Here is a 17,191-nt window from a genome sequence, read left to right on the forward strand (position 1 = left end):
TAGTAGAGACAGGGTTTCACCATGTTGCCCAGGCTGGTCTCAAACTCCTGACCCAAGTGATCCGCCCGCCTCAGCCTCCCAAAGTGCTAGGATTACAGACGTGAGGCACTGCGCCTGGCCGAAAAAAGTATTCTTTAAAACAAGCATGTTGGGATGGAGATGGAATGCTTGTATTTAATTTAGTGTTAAGTCTTTAATGTCTTCCCTGTTGTGTGTGTCTTGAATGATAGCTACTTGAAAAAATCATTAGAATACGAAATTGACTTTTTAAAATATTAATAAGTTGGGCTCTAGATTTAAGAAAAATTTTAAATGTATTTATTTTTAAATTGTCACGTAATAATTGTACATATTTGTGGAGTCCATAGTGATGTTTTGGTATGTACATGGGCTCTGGATTTTTAAGATTTATTCTGCTTTAGACTAATTCTAAAAAAGTGGCTGGGCACAGTGGCTCATGCCTATAATCCTAGCCTCTCAGGAGGCTGAAGTCGGAGGATTGCTTGAGCCTGGAGGTCAAGGTTGCAGTGAGCGACTGCACTCCAGCCTAGGTAACAGAGAGAGAACCTGTGACCAAGCAAGACCCTGTCTCAAAATAAAAAAATCCAGAACATGGATCTTGGGTGATTTGCCTATACATCCCTCAGACTGTACTATGATATTAAATATCACAGCTGGAAGGTTATATAGTAACCATAAAAGTAATTAATTCCGATTCATCAGTAAAACCCTGAGGATTTCCATAGATAAATGGGCAAAGAATGTGGACACACTGTTCAAGTAAGAGGAAACACAAATAATAAATGAATTTGAGGAAACAGTAATCAAATTAAAGCAGTCTATCACTAGTATCTGCTACATGGAAGAAAACAGACATAGTGATAATGCCATTTGTTTGGGAGGCGGTGATGAAACCGTTGTGGATGTAGCTTGATGAAGCTTTGTGTATTGGAATAGCCCTTGTTACAAAGCAGTACATCTGCCATTAGAAGCCCGTAAGGCGTTTATATACCCTCAAGAATTACTCTCTTGAGAATATATCTGAAAGAAATAATTCAACAGAAAAAACAAAGTTGTATACATGAAAAAATTTATTTTACTATTACTTATAAGCCAGAAGCATCAAAAACAGTTTAAACATCCAAGAATGAGCTACACTGATACATAGAAAATGTTTAGATGCTATTAAATGATAAAAGAAAAATCCCGACTAAAAAAATGCATGCAACGTTTACTGAAAGTAAATATTGTATTTGTGAAAACAATTCAGTTGGAGTGGGGTTTACAGATAGTTTCCATTTTTAAAAAATCTTTAATTTAGTTTTTGCTTTCAAAATACAGTACAAAAGCACAAATCCCAAAGATTTAGTAAGTGAGATAAGATGAAGGTGGAGGTACAAAGAATAGGTTCCAGTGATGAAAAATGCCCACTCAGTGGTGTTTGTAATTTGAAGATCATCTGTTTTCTTTTCTGTGGTTCTCCTTTTCCTTAGGTCCTCAGAAACGTGAAGAATTATGATCTCTGGAGAAGGACAGGAAATCACCCCATTTGAAAAACAGTTTTTATAATAAATGCTAGTTTTTTCTGATCTGTCTATACAACTGCTGATAAGCCGGCTGGGCAGGAGTGCCACACCTTTTGATTCTGAGCATTTGATTCTGACTTCTGTACTCTGGTGGCCACTGGATCTTTGGGATTAAAGCTCTGTTGGATTTGTACCTCAGAGGAAGACCAAGTGGCTGATCCTTTGGACTCTGTAAAGAGCATTCTTCTAGTCAGAGGGTGGAATGGCAGCAGCAACTGGAAGAAAATGAGTTTTTTGGTGCCCACACCCAAGAGCACACACATGCTGCACTGTCTCGGAAAGCAGGGCCAGCTAGAGCCACCATGTTCTTCCTTACCTCAGTTTACCTGCGGCCTGCGCTGCACTGCAGATGCCCACCCTGCCCTGGGTCTGGCCGGCGGAAGCTCTGTCCAAGGTCCACACACCTCCAGGTTTACGCCAACATCCTTGTGCCCTCCCCACCTTCTCTTCCAACGCATTAGGTGCATTGTTTAATTGAAATCCAACCAACAATTGTGTGTCAAGGCTGGTTTGGTGCAGTGGCTGGGCAAATTAATTTTGGGCCAGGATGGGGGTGGGTTGCAGTGAGGGTAGGGAAAATGTCAGGAGTAGGAAGGTTCGGGGGTTAAGGGAAGGGAAGGAAGACCAGAACTGGCCATCCTCTTTTATAATCCATTAGTAGCACCATGGCTCATTTGAAATGAAAATATTACACTTATTCCCCACCCAACCGCAGTGAACTTTCTAGGTAATTGTTTTGAAAACAATTTTTGTATCTGTGAAAGTCTTTGCTTTTTCTTTCCACCTTCTAGAAAAGTCTGCTACCAGTTTCCTTACTGAATACAGCCATACTCAGCCCCTCTCGCATCCAGCCCGTCAGGGTCAGGGTCAGGGTCAGGCTCCCTCAAGACGAGCACCGCATTGTCTGCCCTCTTTTGCGTAGGATTTTTCTCTCAGACCCAGGGGACATTGCCTTGGACTTTTCTCTACAAATGCCCTCAGATGTAAGACCAGAAATGATTCTGCTTGTGGAACTCGTGGCTTTCTGTCCTATTTTCCTTTTATGTGAGCCCTGCAGGTTGCCTTTGGCGCCCACACCAGTTCTGTCTTCATGTCGCTGCATCGTGAAGCCCCATTTGCCTTTAGTCCCTGCTTTGTGTGTCTTCACTTCCACAGCCAGTGTTGCCCCTCAGGGCATACTTTGCTGGTGAACGGGCTGTAGAGTCTTGAGTATGTTATTGGCCTAAGTGGGCATGAGGCCCCAGCATCCGACTCCATCTGCCAGGCTGCAGGGCACAGCAGCACTGGCATAGACAGGCACGCTCTGTCTTCCAACGTGCACCAGCCTTTTCTTACATATTTTGCCTGTTTTTAAAAAATACGAGGAGAGGGTGCAGATGGATACTGTGCCCTCACCCTCCTAAGCCAGGTAATATATTGATGTGCAGACTTTTAAGAAATCTTAGTCTTATCACAAATATCAAGTAATTTATTTTTTCCATTTTCAAATGCAAAAGTTAGCCTAGGAAGCCTCCCAGTCATCCTGAAGGACCTTTTGACTTTGCTTTTATAATTCTGTTAAAAATTGAGGAGGGGATTAATGAGTACAATGAAAACAAAACAAAACAAAAAATTAAGAAGAGGAAAGCTCAAAAGAGGATAAGAGACTGAAAAGGCACCTCAGAATGGCTGCTGTGGGCAGAGTCTGTGACATGACTTTCCCCGCCCTGCCCCTCTGTTCAGAGCAGCTGGAAAGATGGGATCAGTAAGATTAAAAAACTTTTGTTCGGCCAGGCGTGGTGGCTCACACCTGTAATCCCAGCACTTTGGGAGGCTGAGGCGGACGGATCATGAGGTCAGGAGTTCAAGACCAGCCTGGCCAATATGGTGAAACCCCGTCTCTACTAAAAATACAAAAATTAGCCGGGTGTTGTGGCTCACCCTCTATTCCCAGCTACTCGGGAGGCAGAGACAGGAGAATCGCCTGAACCCAGGAGGCAGAGGTTGCAGTGAGCTGAGATCGTGCCACTGCACTCCAGCCTGGGTGACAGAGCGAGACTCCATCTCAGAAAACAAACAAACAAAAAGAAACTTTTGTTCAAGCTGCATCTTCACATTGAATGAAAGCATTCAGACGGGTGACTGCTGCTGTCCACAACTGTGGGCGGAAGTGTGCCTTTTCCCAGTTTCTCGTCCAGGAGGTTGCATAGCAAATACTCAAGTCACTGGGATATATGCTTTCCAAATGCTGGCCCCCATAGCACCTTTCCCCATGTCTTTCTACCAAGCCTCTTATGTTTAATCTGTGCAGGGAAGACAAGAGTAGACCATATTCTCTGTGTGCTGTGCATGTCCTGGTGTCACTCATTGCCTCTTATCTGTCGCCATTCTAATATAAGTCAGCTTAATAGTTGACTCTGAATAATGCAAAACCCAGCTTGCTTCCAGAATGGCCTAGGACCCTCCTCCTCCTGCCAGTTTTTTTTTTTTTTTTTGGTTCATGTGGCATAATCATCTTTCAAAATTAACCAAATGCCCCAGAAAATGATGTTACCACTAAAATATTTTCTCCAAGAAGGCATACTGTAACAGAAAAGATAGGTAAGATATTTTTTTCCCAAGAAGTAAGAATTGATTGTGCTGAATGTTCAAACTCTGGAAACTGTTCACAGTATGTTGTTCTTAGCTGTTATTTATATAAAGTGAATTATTTTCTCTCTCAATCATGCCATAGTGGAGACTTTTGTTTGTGAGTAAGTGACAGAGTAATATGAAATAATGTGATATGTCAGAGTGACATGCAGCATCCTGAGCCTGTTTTTATGTTCTGTGTACAGTGGCATTTGATTGAGATCAAAGCCTGTCACAGCCTGCTGCTGGGGGTGTGGGGATATGCCAGAGTCCTGTGTTTGGTTTTAGAAGTTTACTGAATGTTTCCCACATGGAGAATAATGGATGGCATGTTAGTTTCTTTAAGAGTGGTAAAGTTGTACATCTGTCATTGTTGCATTTCGAATTGAACACATAGATGCTTGCCTGTCTGCTTGGGTGAATGCCTCTTGGGAGAGCGAAGATTACGTGCATGATGTATGTTAAGAAACAGTTTCCGGTCAGGCACAGTGGCTTACACCTGTAATCCCAGCACTTTGGGAAGCCGAGGCGGGCGGATTATGAGGTCAAGAGATAGAGACCATCCTGGCCAACACGGTGAAACCCCGTCTCTACTAAAAATACAAAAATTAGCTGGGCATGGTGGCACACACCTGTAGTCCCAGCTACTCGGGAGGCTGAGGCAGGAGAATCACTTGAACCCGGGAGGTGGAGGTTGCAGTGAGCCGAGATCATGCCACTGCACTCCAGCCTGGCAATAGAGCGAGACTCCGTCTCAAAAAAAAAAAAAAAAAAAAAAAAAAAATTAAAACAGTTTCCATAAATGGAGCTTAATTTGCTCTGCTGTCCTTAAGCCCTCGTGGGTTTTTTTTTAAGAGAGTCTCATTCTGTCACCCAGGCTGGAGTGCAGTGGTGCGATCTTGGCTCACTTCAACCTCTGCCTCCCAAGTTCAAACAATTCTCCTGCCTCAGCCTCCTGAGTAGCTGGGATTACAGGCGCCTGCCACCATGCCTGGTTAATTTTTGTATTTTTAGTAGAGATGGGGTTTTACCATGTTGGTTGGCCAGGCTGATCTCAAACTCCTGACCTCAGGTGGTGATCTGCCCACCTCGGCCTCCCAAAGTGCTGGGATTACAGGCGTGAGCCACTATGTCCGGTCAAGCCCTCGTGTTCTGAACCTTGTCAAGGCTCTGCCTGAATGAGTTTTCATCTGATTGTGGGGACCAAGTCCCTGAGTAGAGGGCCAAGAGCTAGGGACAGGGGGAAGAGACTGGCCCAGGTGGTAGGGAGGAAAGAACTCCCAGAGTTTCCTTTAGCCAGGAAACCTGCTCTACTGACCCCGTGACTTGGACAGTCAGACATCACCCTGAGAGTGACAAGTGTAAAATGACTCCCTTCCTCCCCCGCCCTCCGGAAGTATATTTAGATACTTGAAAGCAGTCCTTTTCTAAAATGGCCTTACCTATGTGGCCTGAACGATTAAAAGAAAGAACTCAGAGTTACAAGGGAAAAAGAAAAAGAGTTACAAGGGAATTGTAGTCTTTTTCTGAATAGAATATTAGTACTGTGGTATTGCATTTCATGGGAATGGAAATGTATTGGTAAAGCTACCTGATGGAAGCTTTCTCTTGGTAACAAAAATGGAGGGTGTATTATGTGCAGTTATTTAAATATATGTATTCCATTGTTGCGTGGTTTTTTTCCCCCCTCAAGACAGAGATTTGCTCTTGTTGCCCAGGGTGGAGTACAATGGTGTGACCTTGGCTCACTGCAACCTCTGCCTCCTGGGTTCAGGTGATTCTCCTGCCTCAGCCTTCCGAGTAGCTGGGATTACAGGTGTGCGCCACCACACCCGGCTAATTTTTGCTTTTTTTTTTTTTGAGACAGAATCTCGCTCTGTTGCTCAGGCTGGAGTGGAGTGCAGTGGCACAATCTCAGCTCACTGCAGCCTCTGCCTCCCGGGTTCAAGAGATTCTCCTGACTCAACCTCCTGAGTAGCTGGGATTACAGGTGCCTGCCACTATGCCTAGCTAATTTTTGTATTTTTAGTAGAGACGGGGTTTTGCCATGTTGGCCAGGGTGGTCTCGAACTCCTGACCTCAAGTGATCCACCCGCATCGGCCCCCCAAAGTGCTGGGATTATAGGCGTGAACCACCGCGCCTGTCCCATTGTTGTGTAATTTTAATAATTAGTTTTTTAAGTACTTGATTTTATGGGCACATTTTTGTGGGATGATTGGAGTTAATCAAATAAAGCTTGTCATGTGTGTAGTTTGGTAAGATAACTTCTTTAAATTCATGTTTTCTCTGCCTTGAGGTAGTGAGGGAAAGATCTTAATCAGTATTTTGGTAATTAACTGATTGAATTCAAGCAAATGAGACATCATGAACTTCAGTGGTTATTGATATTTCAGGGTATATACCTGAAATGCCTAGAGGATACAGATTTCTCATTTCATTCTTTGGTCTTTCATTTCTCTATATACAGAAATGAAATGACACTTCTGGGAGGCAGTAGAAGCAGGAAGTCAATGAATTGAGTAGAGGGTCCCATTCCCTCAGGCTGTCATTGATCAGTGACAATTTATAAAAACAAACTGCAAAGTCTGTGGCAAGTGGCTGCCTGCTTCCTAGAAGGAGCCCATGAAGGTTAAACTCTGTGGTCGGTATTTGCAAGCGCCGGGCGTGGTGGCTCACGCCTGTAATCCTAGCACCTTGGGAGGCCAAGGCAGGCGGATCACCCGAGGTCAGGAGTTTGAGGATTTGCAAGCAAAAGGTCCTCTCCTGAGTCTTTCCCAGATACCCAGCAGTGCAGAGGCTAGCTGTGGAAGGTTGCAGTGGGACAGGAATGTATTGTATGCCTTGCCTTACTTGTCACCATTGAGATTTCCAGAGAAATGGGCATAACGTCTCTTAACAACAACAGCAGAAAGCAAAATACATTAACTTAAGGTTGACAACAAAAGATTATCAAGTACCATGTTTTCCAACCAACCAGTTATTCGTGGTAATAATAAAATAAAGGTGGGAAAATGTTATAATTTTTAAGGAAACTGTGTACTTTAAAAATCTTCTTTATGAATATCCAATGTTACTGTAATCCTGCTCCATTAAATGCAGCATTGTTGTCAGGTGCTGCCTCTTGCTTGGGAACAGCATTGGGCTTTTAAATGTCTGCAGAATCTCTGCGTTCGAAGGGAATTGAGAATGAACTTCCTGGTACTGTAATGAAAATAAGGTCTGCTCAACACAGTAAACGTTTCCTCTCTTCTTTAAAACTGCGCAGTCATTTGGCCTTTGTGTTTAGGAAGGGCAGATTGATAGAGCACAAAGTCCAACCCCTTCATCTAGCAGAAGCTGCAAACCCAGACAGAGGAACGAGGGCTTTACCTGAGTCTTGTCTGCTGCTGGGGCTGGCTTCGGGTTGCATCCAGTTCTTTGGATTCTGAGGATCCAAAGCACCCAGGTCTCCTCCAGGTCCTCAACCTCTGGGAGCTGCCCCAGGCAGAACTTGGCAGGCAGGCATAACAGGTGGGGTGGGAGGGGGAACCTCAAGGCAAGAAGGTGTCATGAGACCCCTGGGCCGGCAGAGTTCCTTAGGAGGGTGGCATGGACTTTGCATTTTGCCAGTTCTCTGAGCTCCTACTCCGGGGTGGATATGCATTGAGGATGTAGTCTCTGTGTGATGATGGGGAGGGCGGGGAGGGGCACCTGGTGCCTGTGAAGGCGCAAGAGAGGGCCCTAAGGTGCAGGACCAGGACTAAGCTGCTACAAGGAGGTGGTGCTTAGGTTGAAGCCTGAGGACTAAGTAGGGGCGAGGGGTGGGCAGAGGGGAGGAGCTTGAGCTAGTGTTTTTGAGGGAGCTGCATGGAAGCCTGCACGTGGCCAGGAGAGGGGGAATGGGTTTGATCCTGGGGGCACAAGAAGGCCCTTCAGGGGTTTAAACTGGGTGCTGGCACTAAATGGGTTTTTTCTTGTAATAAACTTTGTGTTGAGGTCTGTAGCACATACTGAAAAGTACATAAACACACACCTTGATAGTTTTTCACAAAGTGAAAGCACTAGCATATCCATCATCCAGATAAAGAAAAGGAAGTTGGAGTTTATTTTAACACTTAAACATCTGATTACAGTCTGGCATCCAGGAAGGGCAGAGCAGCATGTGTCAGACCAGCCTACGCCTGATCATTACACACACTATTTGAAAAGCACTAGAGCCTGCTGAGATACCGGCAAGAGAGGGAGAGCACGAACCATCAGAAGAAGTGAAACCTCATGTGGCTCACAGGGAATAAAACAGAAGGTGGCAGGCTTACTAGGCCCAGGAGCCAAGTCACTTCAGGACGTTCTTGGCCGCTGCACACTTGTGTGGGGGCACATCCCAGAAAGGAGGAAGCCATAGAAGCCCCCAACTTTGCCTTGTATAGTCTCATCAAGTTCTTGGCGGGTTCCTGTATTATACATAAACAGGGCAGAATTCCAAATGGAAAGCAACACTTGGAAGGCTGGAAAAGCTGAGTAGAGATTTCAGAAGATGTGCTGGGGAGAAGAAGTTTAGAATTCATTTTCCATCAAATTAGAGGGATTTGGTAACTATTTCAGACTTTGCATCGAAAACCCAGGGTGTAGGCCTTAGGATTAGGACCACATCACAGAACTCAAATCTAGGGTCTAGGACTGAGGGCAACACTAAGATAGACCTACCCTCGTAAAGCCTAAAATGAAGGCTTAGCAGAATCAGGGTGATCGCTAGTAACCAAACTCTGCTAAAACAAAAGTTTTTGTGGGAAAAAACTGAATCCAGAGTGTCTATAGTATATTATTCAGAATGTCCTGTATATAACCACATCAGTAGGCACGACAGGAAGTGGGAACATATGACGTGATCAAGAAAAAAAATCAGGCTGGGTGCGGTGGTGCACACCTGTAACCCCAGGACTTTGGGAAGCCGAGGCGGTTGGATTGTTGGAGCCCAGGAGTTTGAGACCAGCCTCGGCAACATGGTGAAACCCCATCTCTACAAAAAATACAAAAAATTAGCCAGGCATGGTGGTATGTGCCTGTAGTCCCAGCTACTCAGAAGGCTGCGGTGGGAAGATCATTTGAGCCTGGGAGGTTGAGGCTGTGGTGAGCTGTGATAGTGCCATTGCACTCCAGCCTGGGTGACAGAGTGAGACCCTGTCTCAAAAAAACAAAATCAAAACAACCCATAAACCAAGGTGTTGAAATCATTCAATAAAAATGTTAAAATAATTATAAACGTTTTTCTCAGACATAAGTGGATGCTTTTTTATTGCCTTTTGATACGTCCTGAGTTTGTGTGTGTGTGTAGGTATATGTGTATATATATATTTATTAATTTAATTGACAAAGATTGTGTATATTCCAGGTGTCCCGTGTGATGATTTGCTACACATGTGCATTGTGTGATTATCACCACTGAATTAGGACACCCATCCCCACCTGTGCTGCACATTAGATCCCCAGAACTTATCTTTTTTTCTTTTTTTGAGACGGAGCCTCGGTCTGTCGCCCAGGCTGAAGTGCAGTGGTGTGATCTTAGCTCACTGCAACCGCCGCCTCCCAGATTCAAGCAATTCTCCTGCCTCAGCCTCCTGAGTAGCAGGGATTATAGGCGTGCGCCACCATGCCCGGCTAATTTTTGTATTTTTAGTAGAGACGGGGTTTCACCATGTTGTTCAGGCTGGTCTCAAATTCCTGACCTCATGATCCGCCCGCCTTGGCCTCCCAAAGTGCTAGGGTTAGAGGCGTGAGCCCCCACACCTGGCCTATCGCGCAGGCTTAAGTGCAATGTTGCGATCTGGCCTCACTGCAACCTCCACTTCCTGGGTTCAAGCAATTCTCCTGCCTCAGCCTCCTGAGTAGCTGGGATTACAGGCAACTGCCACTGCACCTGGCTAATTTTTGTATTTTTATTAGAGATGGAGTTTCACCATGTTGGTCAGGCTGGTCTCAAACTCCTGACCTTAGGCAATCTGCCCACCTTGGCCTCCCAAAGTGCTGGGATTACAGGCATGAACCACCACGCCCAGCCCCACAGAACTTATCTTTAAACTGAGAGTTTGTACTCTTTTGATCTGCATCTCCCCATTTCCCCATTTGCAGAAGAAAAGTCAGTGAACTTGAAGACACGTTAATAGAAATTATCTAAATTGAAAAACAAAGTGGAAGAAGAGATTGAAAAAGAATAAATGAGCAGAGACTCAGTAAACTGTGAGACAGTATAACAAATGCGTAACTAGAATCCCAGGAGAGGAGAGAAAATGTGGCAGAAAAAAAAATACGGAGAAATATTGGCCAAAATTGTTTGTTTTTTGAAAATGCGGTCTTGGCCCAGTTTTGAGGCCCTAGCTTTGAGGTCCTGGCTAGAGGCCAGTCAGTCCTCTAGAGCAGCCAATCAAGTTTACACCCTCAACTACCTCCCTTCTTCAGCTCAAGCTCCAGGCCAGCACTCTGACACCCCAGGGCAGTACCAGACATCCTGCAACAGCCCCTGTGGCCCAGCGCCAGCTGAGATTATTCCAGTCAGTCTCAGTCTGCTGCCCCTGCCTCACCTGTTCCTTCCTGGGAAACCACAATAAGGGGTCTTGCCCACATTCCCCTGCTCCCTGTGCCCCATAACCAGTGGTTGCTTCCACTGAGTGGCCCTGCGTGGAGTGCTGTTTCTCCCCAGGGAACTGAGTGCGACATGTCAAATTTACCGTTTCTCTCTTGATCTGCATCTGGCCTCACCGGAATCACCACTCCCTCCCCTTAAAAGCAGGATGAATATAAAGAAGGCCACACCTAGGTGCATCATAGTCAAATGCTGAAAATTAAAGATAAAATCATGAAAAAGTAGTAGCCAGGAAAACAAAAACACCTGATGTGGAGGGGAACAACAATGAAAATGACAGCTGACTTCCCATCAGGAACAGGGGAGTGACGTCATAGAATGCTGAAAGGAGCTAACATCCTACATGCAGGGAAAATATTCCTCAAAAATGAACCTGGGGCCAGGCGCGGTGCCTCACACCTGTAATCCCAGCACTTTGCGAGGCCGAGGCGGGTGGATCACCTGAGGTCAGGAGTTTTGAGACCAGCCTGGCCAACATTGTGAAACCCTGTCTCTACTAAAAATACAAAAATTAGCCGGGTGTGGTGGCAGGAACCTGTAATCTCAGCTACTCGGGAGGCTGAGGCAGGACAATCGCTTGAACCCGGCAGGCAGAGGTTGCAATGAGCCGAGATCATGCCATTGCACTGCGCCTGGGTGACCGAGGAAGACTGTCTCAAAAAAAAAAAAGAAGTTGGAATAAAAACATTTTGGGGTAACTGAATGCTGACAGCATTCATTGTAGGAGACAAGTACTACAAAATTGCTTTAAAAAAAAAGGCTCCCAGGGGGGTGGCCCCAAGAGTTGGGGTTCAGTGTCCTCCAAGCCCTGGTCCTCTCCAATAGGCCTGGGATCTGCCCCACCTGACCCGTTCTCCCGACCCTGAGGTTGGCTTCAATGCTAAGGAAGCCCACAATATTGTCAAAGAGTGTGTGCTGGTGAAGATTATAATCACATCATCAACCAAGCATAGTGGAACAATCCTTAACACATCTGGTTAAGTTGGGAAAAGCTTATACATATATTGTGACCTGTGCAGTGGTCCAGAAGAGCGCATATGGCTTTCATACAGCCAGCTCCTGTTTTTGGGATACCACATCTGATGGAACCTGTACCATAAGATGGGAGAACTGGACCATGAACCGTATTGTCAACGTTTTTGCCATTGCTAGTGTTCTTTAACTTACTAAAAATGTTGGGCTAAAGCCATTAACTTAAAGAATTTGTCAGTGTATCTTTTCAAAAAATGAGTAATATTTATTAGTGTGCTAGATGACAAGCGTGCATTATATAAGCAAAATGCTGTAATCCCAGCACTCTGGGAGGCCGAGACGGGCGGATCACAAGGTCAGGAGATCGAGACCATCCTGGCTAACATGGTGAAACCCCGTCTGTACTAAAAAATACAAAAAAATTAACTTGGCCTGGTGGCGGGCGCCTGTAGTCCCAGCTACTTGGGAGGCTGAGGCAGGAGAATGGCGTGAACCCAGGAGGTGGAGCTTGCAGTGAGCCGAGATCGCGCCACTGCACTCCAGCCTGGGCCACAGAGCAAGACTCCGTCTCAAAAAAAAAAAAAAAAAAAAAAAGTAAGCAAAATGAAAAGCACTTAGTGCTTTCTGACAGAATTATAGATGTAATTTTAAGAGTTGCTCCTAGCAAGTTAAAAGTGCATATAAAATATGCAACTCTTAGTTAAAGGGTTTAGTATCAGTCTTATCTATACAAGTAGTAAATTTTGTCATTGCTTTAGTTACAACCATCTGTAAATAATTTTAAAGACTTATTACGTGGGGTTCAAATTGAGTGGAATAAAGTATAGATTAAAAGTATACAATTGGCTGGGTGCGGTGGCTCACACCTGTAATCCCAGCACTTTGGGAGGCTGAGGTGGGTGTATCACAAGGTCAGGAGATTGAGACCATCCTGGCTAACACAGTGAAACCCCATCTCTACTAAAAATACAAAAAATTATTCAGGCGTGGTGGTACGTGCCTGTAGTCCCAGCCACTCAGGAGGCTGAGGCAGGAGAATTGCTTGAACCCAGGAGGTGGAGGTTGCAATGAACTGAGATCGCACCGCTGTACTCCAGCCTTGGCAACAGAGCAAGACTCAGTCTCAAAATAAATAAATAAATAAAAGAATAATATTAACAAAATAAATGAGTTTAATGCAGTGATCTTTGTTTTTGGCACATCAGAAATTCTCAGTCATTACTCATGTTTCTTTATGCTGCTGGCTTTTGTGCCCTTGAAGATTATAATAGTGACCAAAATATATATGCAGACTTATTTTTTATTGTTGTTGAAGCCTGGTTTAAGAAAAAAAAATTCATACCTCGTGAACTTGCTATCTTCTGTGTTTCTAATTAAAATATAATAAATATTATCTTCCTGTGCTGAAAAAAAAAGGGCCAGGCACAGTGGCTCGCGCCTGTAATGCCAGCACTTTTGGAGGCCGAGGCAGTCAGGTCCCCTGAGGTCAGGAGTTAGAAACCACCCTGGCCAACATGGTGAAACTCCATCTCTACTAAAAAAAAAAGTACAAAAATTGCTGGGCACGGTGGCTCACACCTGTAATCCCAGCACTTTGGGAGGCCGAGGCGGGCGGATCACAAGGTCAGGAGATCGAGACCATCCTGGCTAACACGGTGAAATACCGTCTCTACTAAAAATACAAAAAAAAAAAAAAAAAAAAAAAAAATTAGCTGGGCGTGGGCGTGGTGACGGGCGCCTGTAGTCCCAGCTGGAGGCTGAGGCAGGAGAATGGCATGAACCCGGGAAGCGGAGCTTGCAGTGAGCCGAGATCGCGCCACTGCACTCCAGCCTGGGCGACAAGAGTGAGACTTCGTCTCAAAAAAGAAAAAAAGGGAAATGATGCCAAATATAAATTCAAACCTCCAGGGAGGAAGGGAGCACTGGAAATAGTAAATATGTGGGTAAATACACTATTTTTTTCTTTACTTGAGTTATTTACAAGACCATTGATTGCTTAAAACAGAAATAACATTGGTATATTGCGGGGTGTATAGCATGTAGAGTAAAATATATGACAACCACACAAAGGATGGGAGTTGTAAGTTTCTTAAATCTACTGTGATTTGTTTTGAGGACAGGGCAGGAGAAACTGATAAGCTAAGGCAGCATATTGCTTTCTGTAGCGCAGCCATCTGAAAAATGCAAAGTGTTATAGCCAAAAAGCAAAAGAAGAGGTACAATGGAACTGCTTAAAACTTTTTAAAAATTAGGGCCGGTGGGTGCGGTGGCTCATGCCTGTAATCCCAGCACTTTGGGAGCCAAGGCGGGCAGATCACCTGAAGTCAGGAGTTTGAGACCAGCCTGGCCAACATGGTGAAACCCCATCTCTACTGAAAATACAAAAGCTAGCCGGGTGTGGTGACGGGCACCTGTAGTCCCAGCTACTTGGGAGGCTGAGGCAGGAGAATCACTTGAACCCGGGAGGCAGAGGTTGCACCGAGCTGAGATCATACCACTGCACTCCAGTGAGACTCTGTCTCAAAAAAAATTAAGGCTGGGCACACTGGCTCTTGCCTGTAATTCCAGCACTTTGAGAGGCCAAGGTGGGAGGATCACTTGAGCCCAGGAGTTCGAGACCAGCCTGGGCAACATAGCGAGACTCCATCTCTACAAAACAAGTTAAAAATGAAAAAAAGTTTTTTTAATTAAAAAATTCCCCTGAAACATAAAACTTGATCAACCCAATAGAAGACAGGAATGGAAGGACAAAAGAATCAGTACAGAGGAGACAAATGACTAACTAGTAGCCATCAAACTCAAAACTAAAAAATATCAGTAATTACAAGTTAATTTTCTTAAACACTCTAAATAAAAGGCTGAGATTTTCACATTGGACTTTAAAAAGGAATTTACCAGAATTGCACGTTAAATGAAAGTAGATAGGGTGAAAGAGATCTAGGGGGTGGTCACTGCACTGAGTCATTGATCTGGCAAGATCAACTGGAAGCAACTATTCTGGAGCTCTGGACCATGTTCAAACACTTACAACCACCAGGGAAGCACTTCCTGAAGGAAGAGACTGCTGATTTGTGAGTGAGTGGCATATGTGACCCACCACCATCCTCCCTCCTCAGTGCCACCTCAGCTGTAGGGTTGGCTGCCTGCACTCTTGGAACATCTCACTGGTGCCAGTGTAGGCAGTACTGATCTCCTCCTCCAAAAAAATTGGATCTGTAAATTTTGGCTGGTCTGGTGTACCCTGAGGAAGCAGCACAGGCACCTGCTTTAGTTTGCCCTCTTGGCAGTGGTGGCAGCTGCTTCTGCTTACCCTTCTATCAGACGATTTAGCTTCTTGATGGGCGCCACCAACATGGTGTTCAGGCACTTTGTGGAGGTTGGCCAAGTGGCTTACATCTCTGGACCTCATGCTGGAAAGCTGGTTGCGATTATAGATGTTGTTGATGAGAACAGGGCTTTGGTTGGTGGAGCTTGCACTCAGGTAAGGAGACAGGCCATGCCATTTAAATGCATGCAGCTCACTGACTTTATCCTCAAGTTCCCACCCAGTGCCCACCCCAGAGGCATGGCCAAGAAGCCTGGCAGAAGGCAACCATCAATACAAAATGGACAGGCACACAATGGGCCAAGAAGAGTGAAGCCAAAGAAGGGGAAGCCAAAATGATAGATTTTGATCATTTTAGTCATGAAGGCAAAGAAAATGAGGAACAGAATGATCAAGAATTAAATTAAGAAGCTTCAAAAGGCTGCTGTCCTGAAAGCTTCTCCCCATATAGCACCTGTTGCCCAGGCTGGCGTGCCAGTGGCATGATCTTGGTTCACTGCAACCTCTGCATCCCAGGTTCAAGCAGTCCTCCCACCTCAGCCTCCTGAGTAGCTGGGACTACAGGCACTTGCCACCAGGCCTGGCTAGATTTTTTTGTATTTTTGGTAGAGACGGGATTTAGCTATGTTGGCCAGGCTGGTCTCAAACTCCTGACCTCAAGTGATCTACTGGTCTCTGCCTCCCAAAGTGCTGGAATTATAGGCATGAGCCACTGGACCCAGCCAAGGACAAATTTCTATAAACATACAAACTAACAAAACTGGGAAAAAAGAACTAGAAAATCAGACTAAACCTATAACAAGTAAGGAGAGTGAACCAATAAGCAAAAACCTCCCAAAAAAGAAATTCCCAGGACCAGATAGCTTTACTGGTGATCTCTACTGAATATTTAGAGATTAATGTACCACTGTTTCTCAAACTCATCCAGAAAATCAAAGAGAGAAGAACACTTCTGAACTCATTCTATGAGGCCAGCATTACCCTGATACCAAAGCTTTGTATCTTGTAGGGTACAAAGATCCTATAAGAAAAGTGGAGGCTAACCTTCCTTATGAAGAAGCAAAAATTCTCAACAAAATACTACCGAACCAAATTCAGCAGTATATTAAATTGATTATATGCCATGGGCAAGTGGAATTTATCCCCAGAGCAAAGGTAGTTGAACATAGAAAAATCTTTCACTGTACCATGCCATATTAATAGAATGAAGGAAAAATACTAGATTCAGCCAGGCGTGGTGTTTCATGCCTGTAATCCCAGCACGTTGGGAGGCTGAGGTTGGTGGATCACTTGAGGCCCAGAGTTCAAGACCAGCTTGGCCAACATGGTGAAACCCCATCTCTAGTAAAAATACAAAAATTAGCCAGGTGTGGTGGCAGGCGCCTGTAATCCCAGCTACTTGGGAGCTGAGGCAGGAGAATCACTTGAACTCGGGAGGTGGAGGTTGCAGTGAGCCAGGATTGTGCCACTGCACTCCAGCCTGAGTGACAGAGTGAGACTTCATCTAAAAAAAAAAAAAAGATGATCTCAGTTGTTTTTAAAAATTGATTAAATTTGATACCCTTTCATGATAAAAACACTCAATAAACTAGGAATAGAAGGGAATATTCCCTGCATGATAAAGACCGTATGTGAAAAATCCACATCATACTCAGTGGTGTAAGACTAAAAGCTTTCCCCCTAAGATCAGGAAAAAGACAATGATACCCACTTTTGCCACCTCTATTCAACATAGTACTGAAAGTTGTGGCTGGAGAAATTAGGCAAGAAAAAGAAATAAAAGACACCCAACTCTTTTTGTGTATGAGACAGGGTCTCATTCTGTCACCCAGGCTGGGGTGCAGTGACATGATCACAGCCCACCGTGGCCTCAGCCTCCTGGGCTCAGGTGATTATCCCACCTCAGCCTCCCTAGTAGCTGAGACTACAAGCACGTGCCACCACGCCTGGCTAATTTTTCTATTTTTTATTGAGATAGTGTTTTGCCATGTTGTCCAGGCTGGTCTCGAACTCCTGGGCTCAAACAATCCTCCCACCTCAGCCTCCCAAAGTGCTGGGGCTACAGGCATGAACCACTGTGC

General features: G+C 44.9%; 1 protein-coding gene and 2 pseudogenes across 10 annotated transcripts in view, besides 1 other annotated feature; all 3 read left to right on the top strand.

The window, feature by feature from the left end:
* The window catches only part of UGGT1 (UDP-glucose glycoprotein glucosyltransferase 1), a 104,478-nt gene extending 97,024 nt beyond the window's left edge, over positions 1-7,454 (top strand). For all 10 annotated transcript variants that reach the window (NR_027671.3, NM_020120.4, XM_006712635.5 and 7 more), the window contains one exon: positions 1,494-7,454. Coding sequence is in view for 9 of the 10 variants with exons in the window: in NM_020120.4 (NP_064505.1) it covers positions 1,494-1,519 (26 nt within the window). In the remaining variant the exon portion in view is untranslated. The remainder of the gene's footprint in view (positions 1-1,493) is intronic.
* DYNLT3P2 (dynein light chain Tctex-type 3 pseudogene 2) lies at positions 11,671-13,191 on the top strand (annotated as a pseudogene).
* Positions 14,329-14,562: a silencer, noted in NCBI's record as "fragment chr2:128960126-128960359 (GRCh37/hg19 assembly coordinates)". NCBI's record gives its function as "represses an EF-1alpha promoter that drives an FKBP-Casp9 reporter gene in an ReSE screen in K562 erythroleukemia cells {active_cell/tissue: K562}" and the evidence as "EXISTENCE:reporter gene assay evidence [ECO:0000049][PMID:32094911]".
* RPL14P6 (RPL14 pseudogene 6) lies at positions 15,128-15,576 on the top strand (annotated as a pseudogene).

This window comes from Homo sapiens, chromosome 2 (genome assembly GCF_000001405.40).
Source record: "Homo sapiens chromosome 2, GRCh38.p14 Primary Assembly".
NCBI lineage: Eukaryota > Metazoa > Chordata > Mammalia > Primates > Hominidae > Homo > Homo sapiens.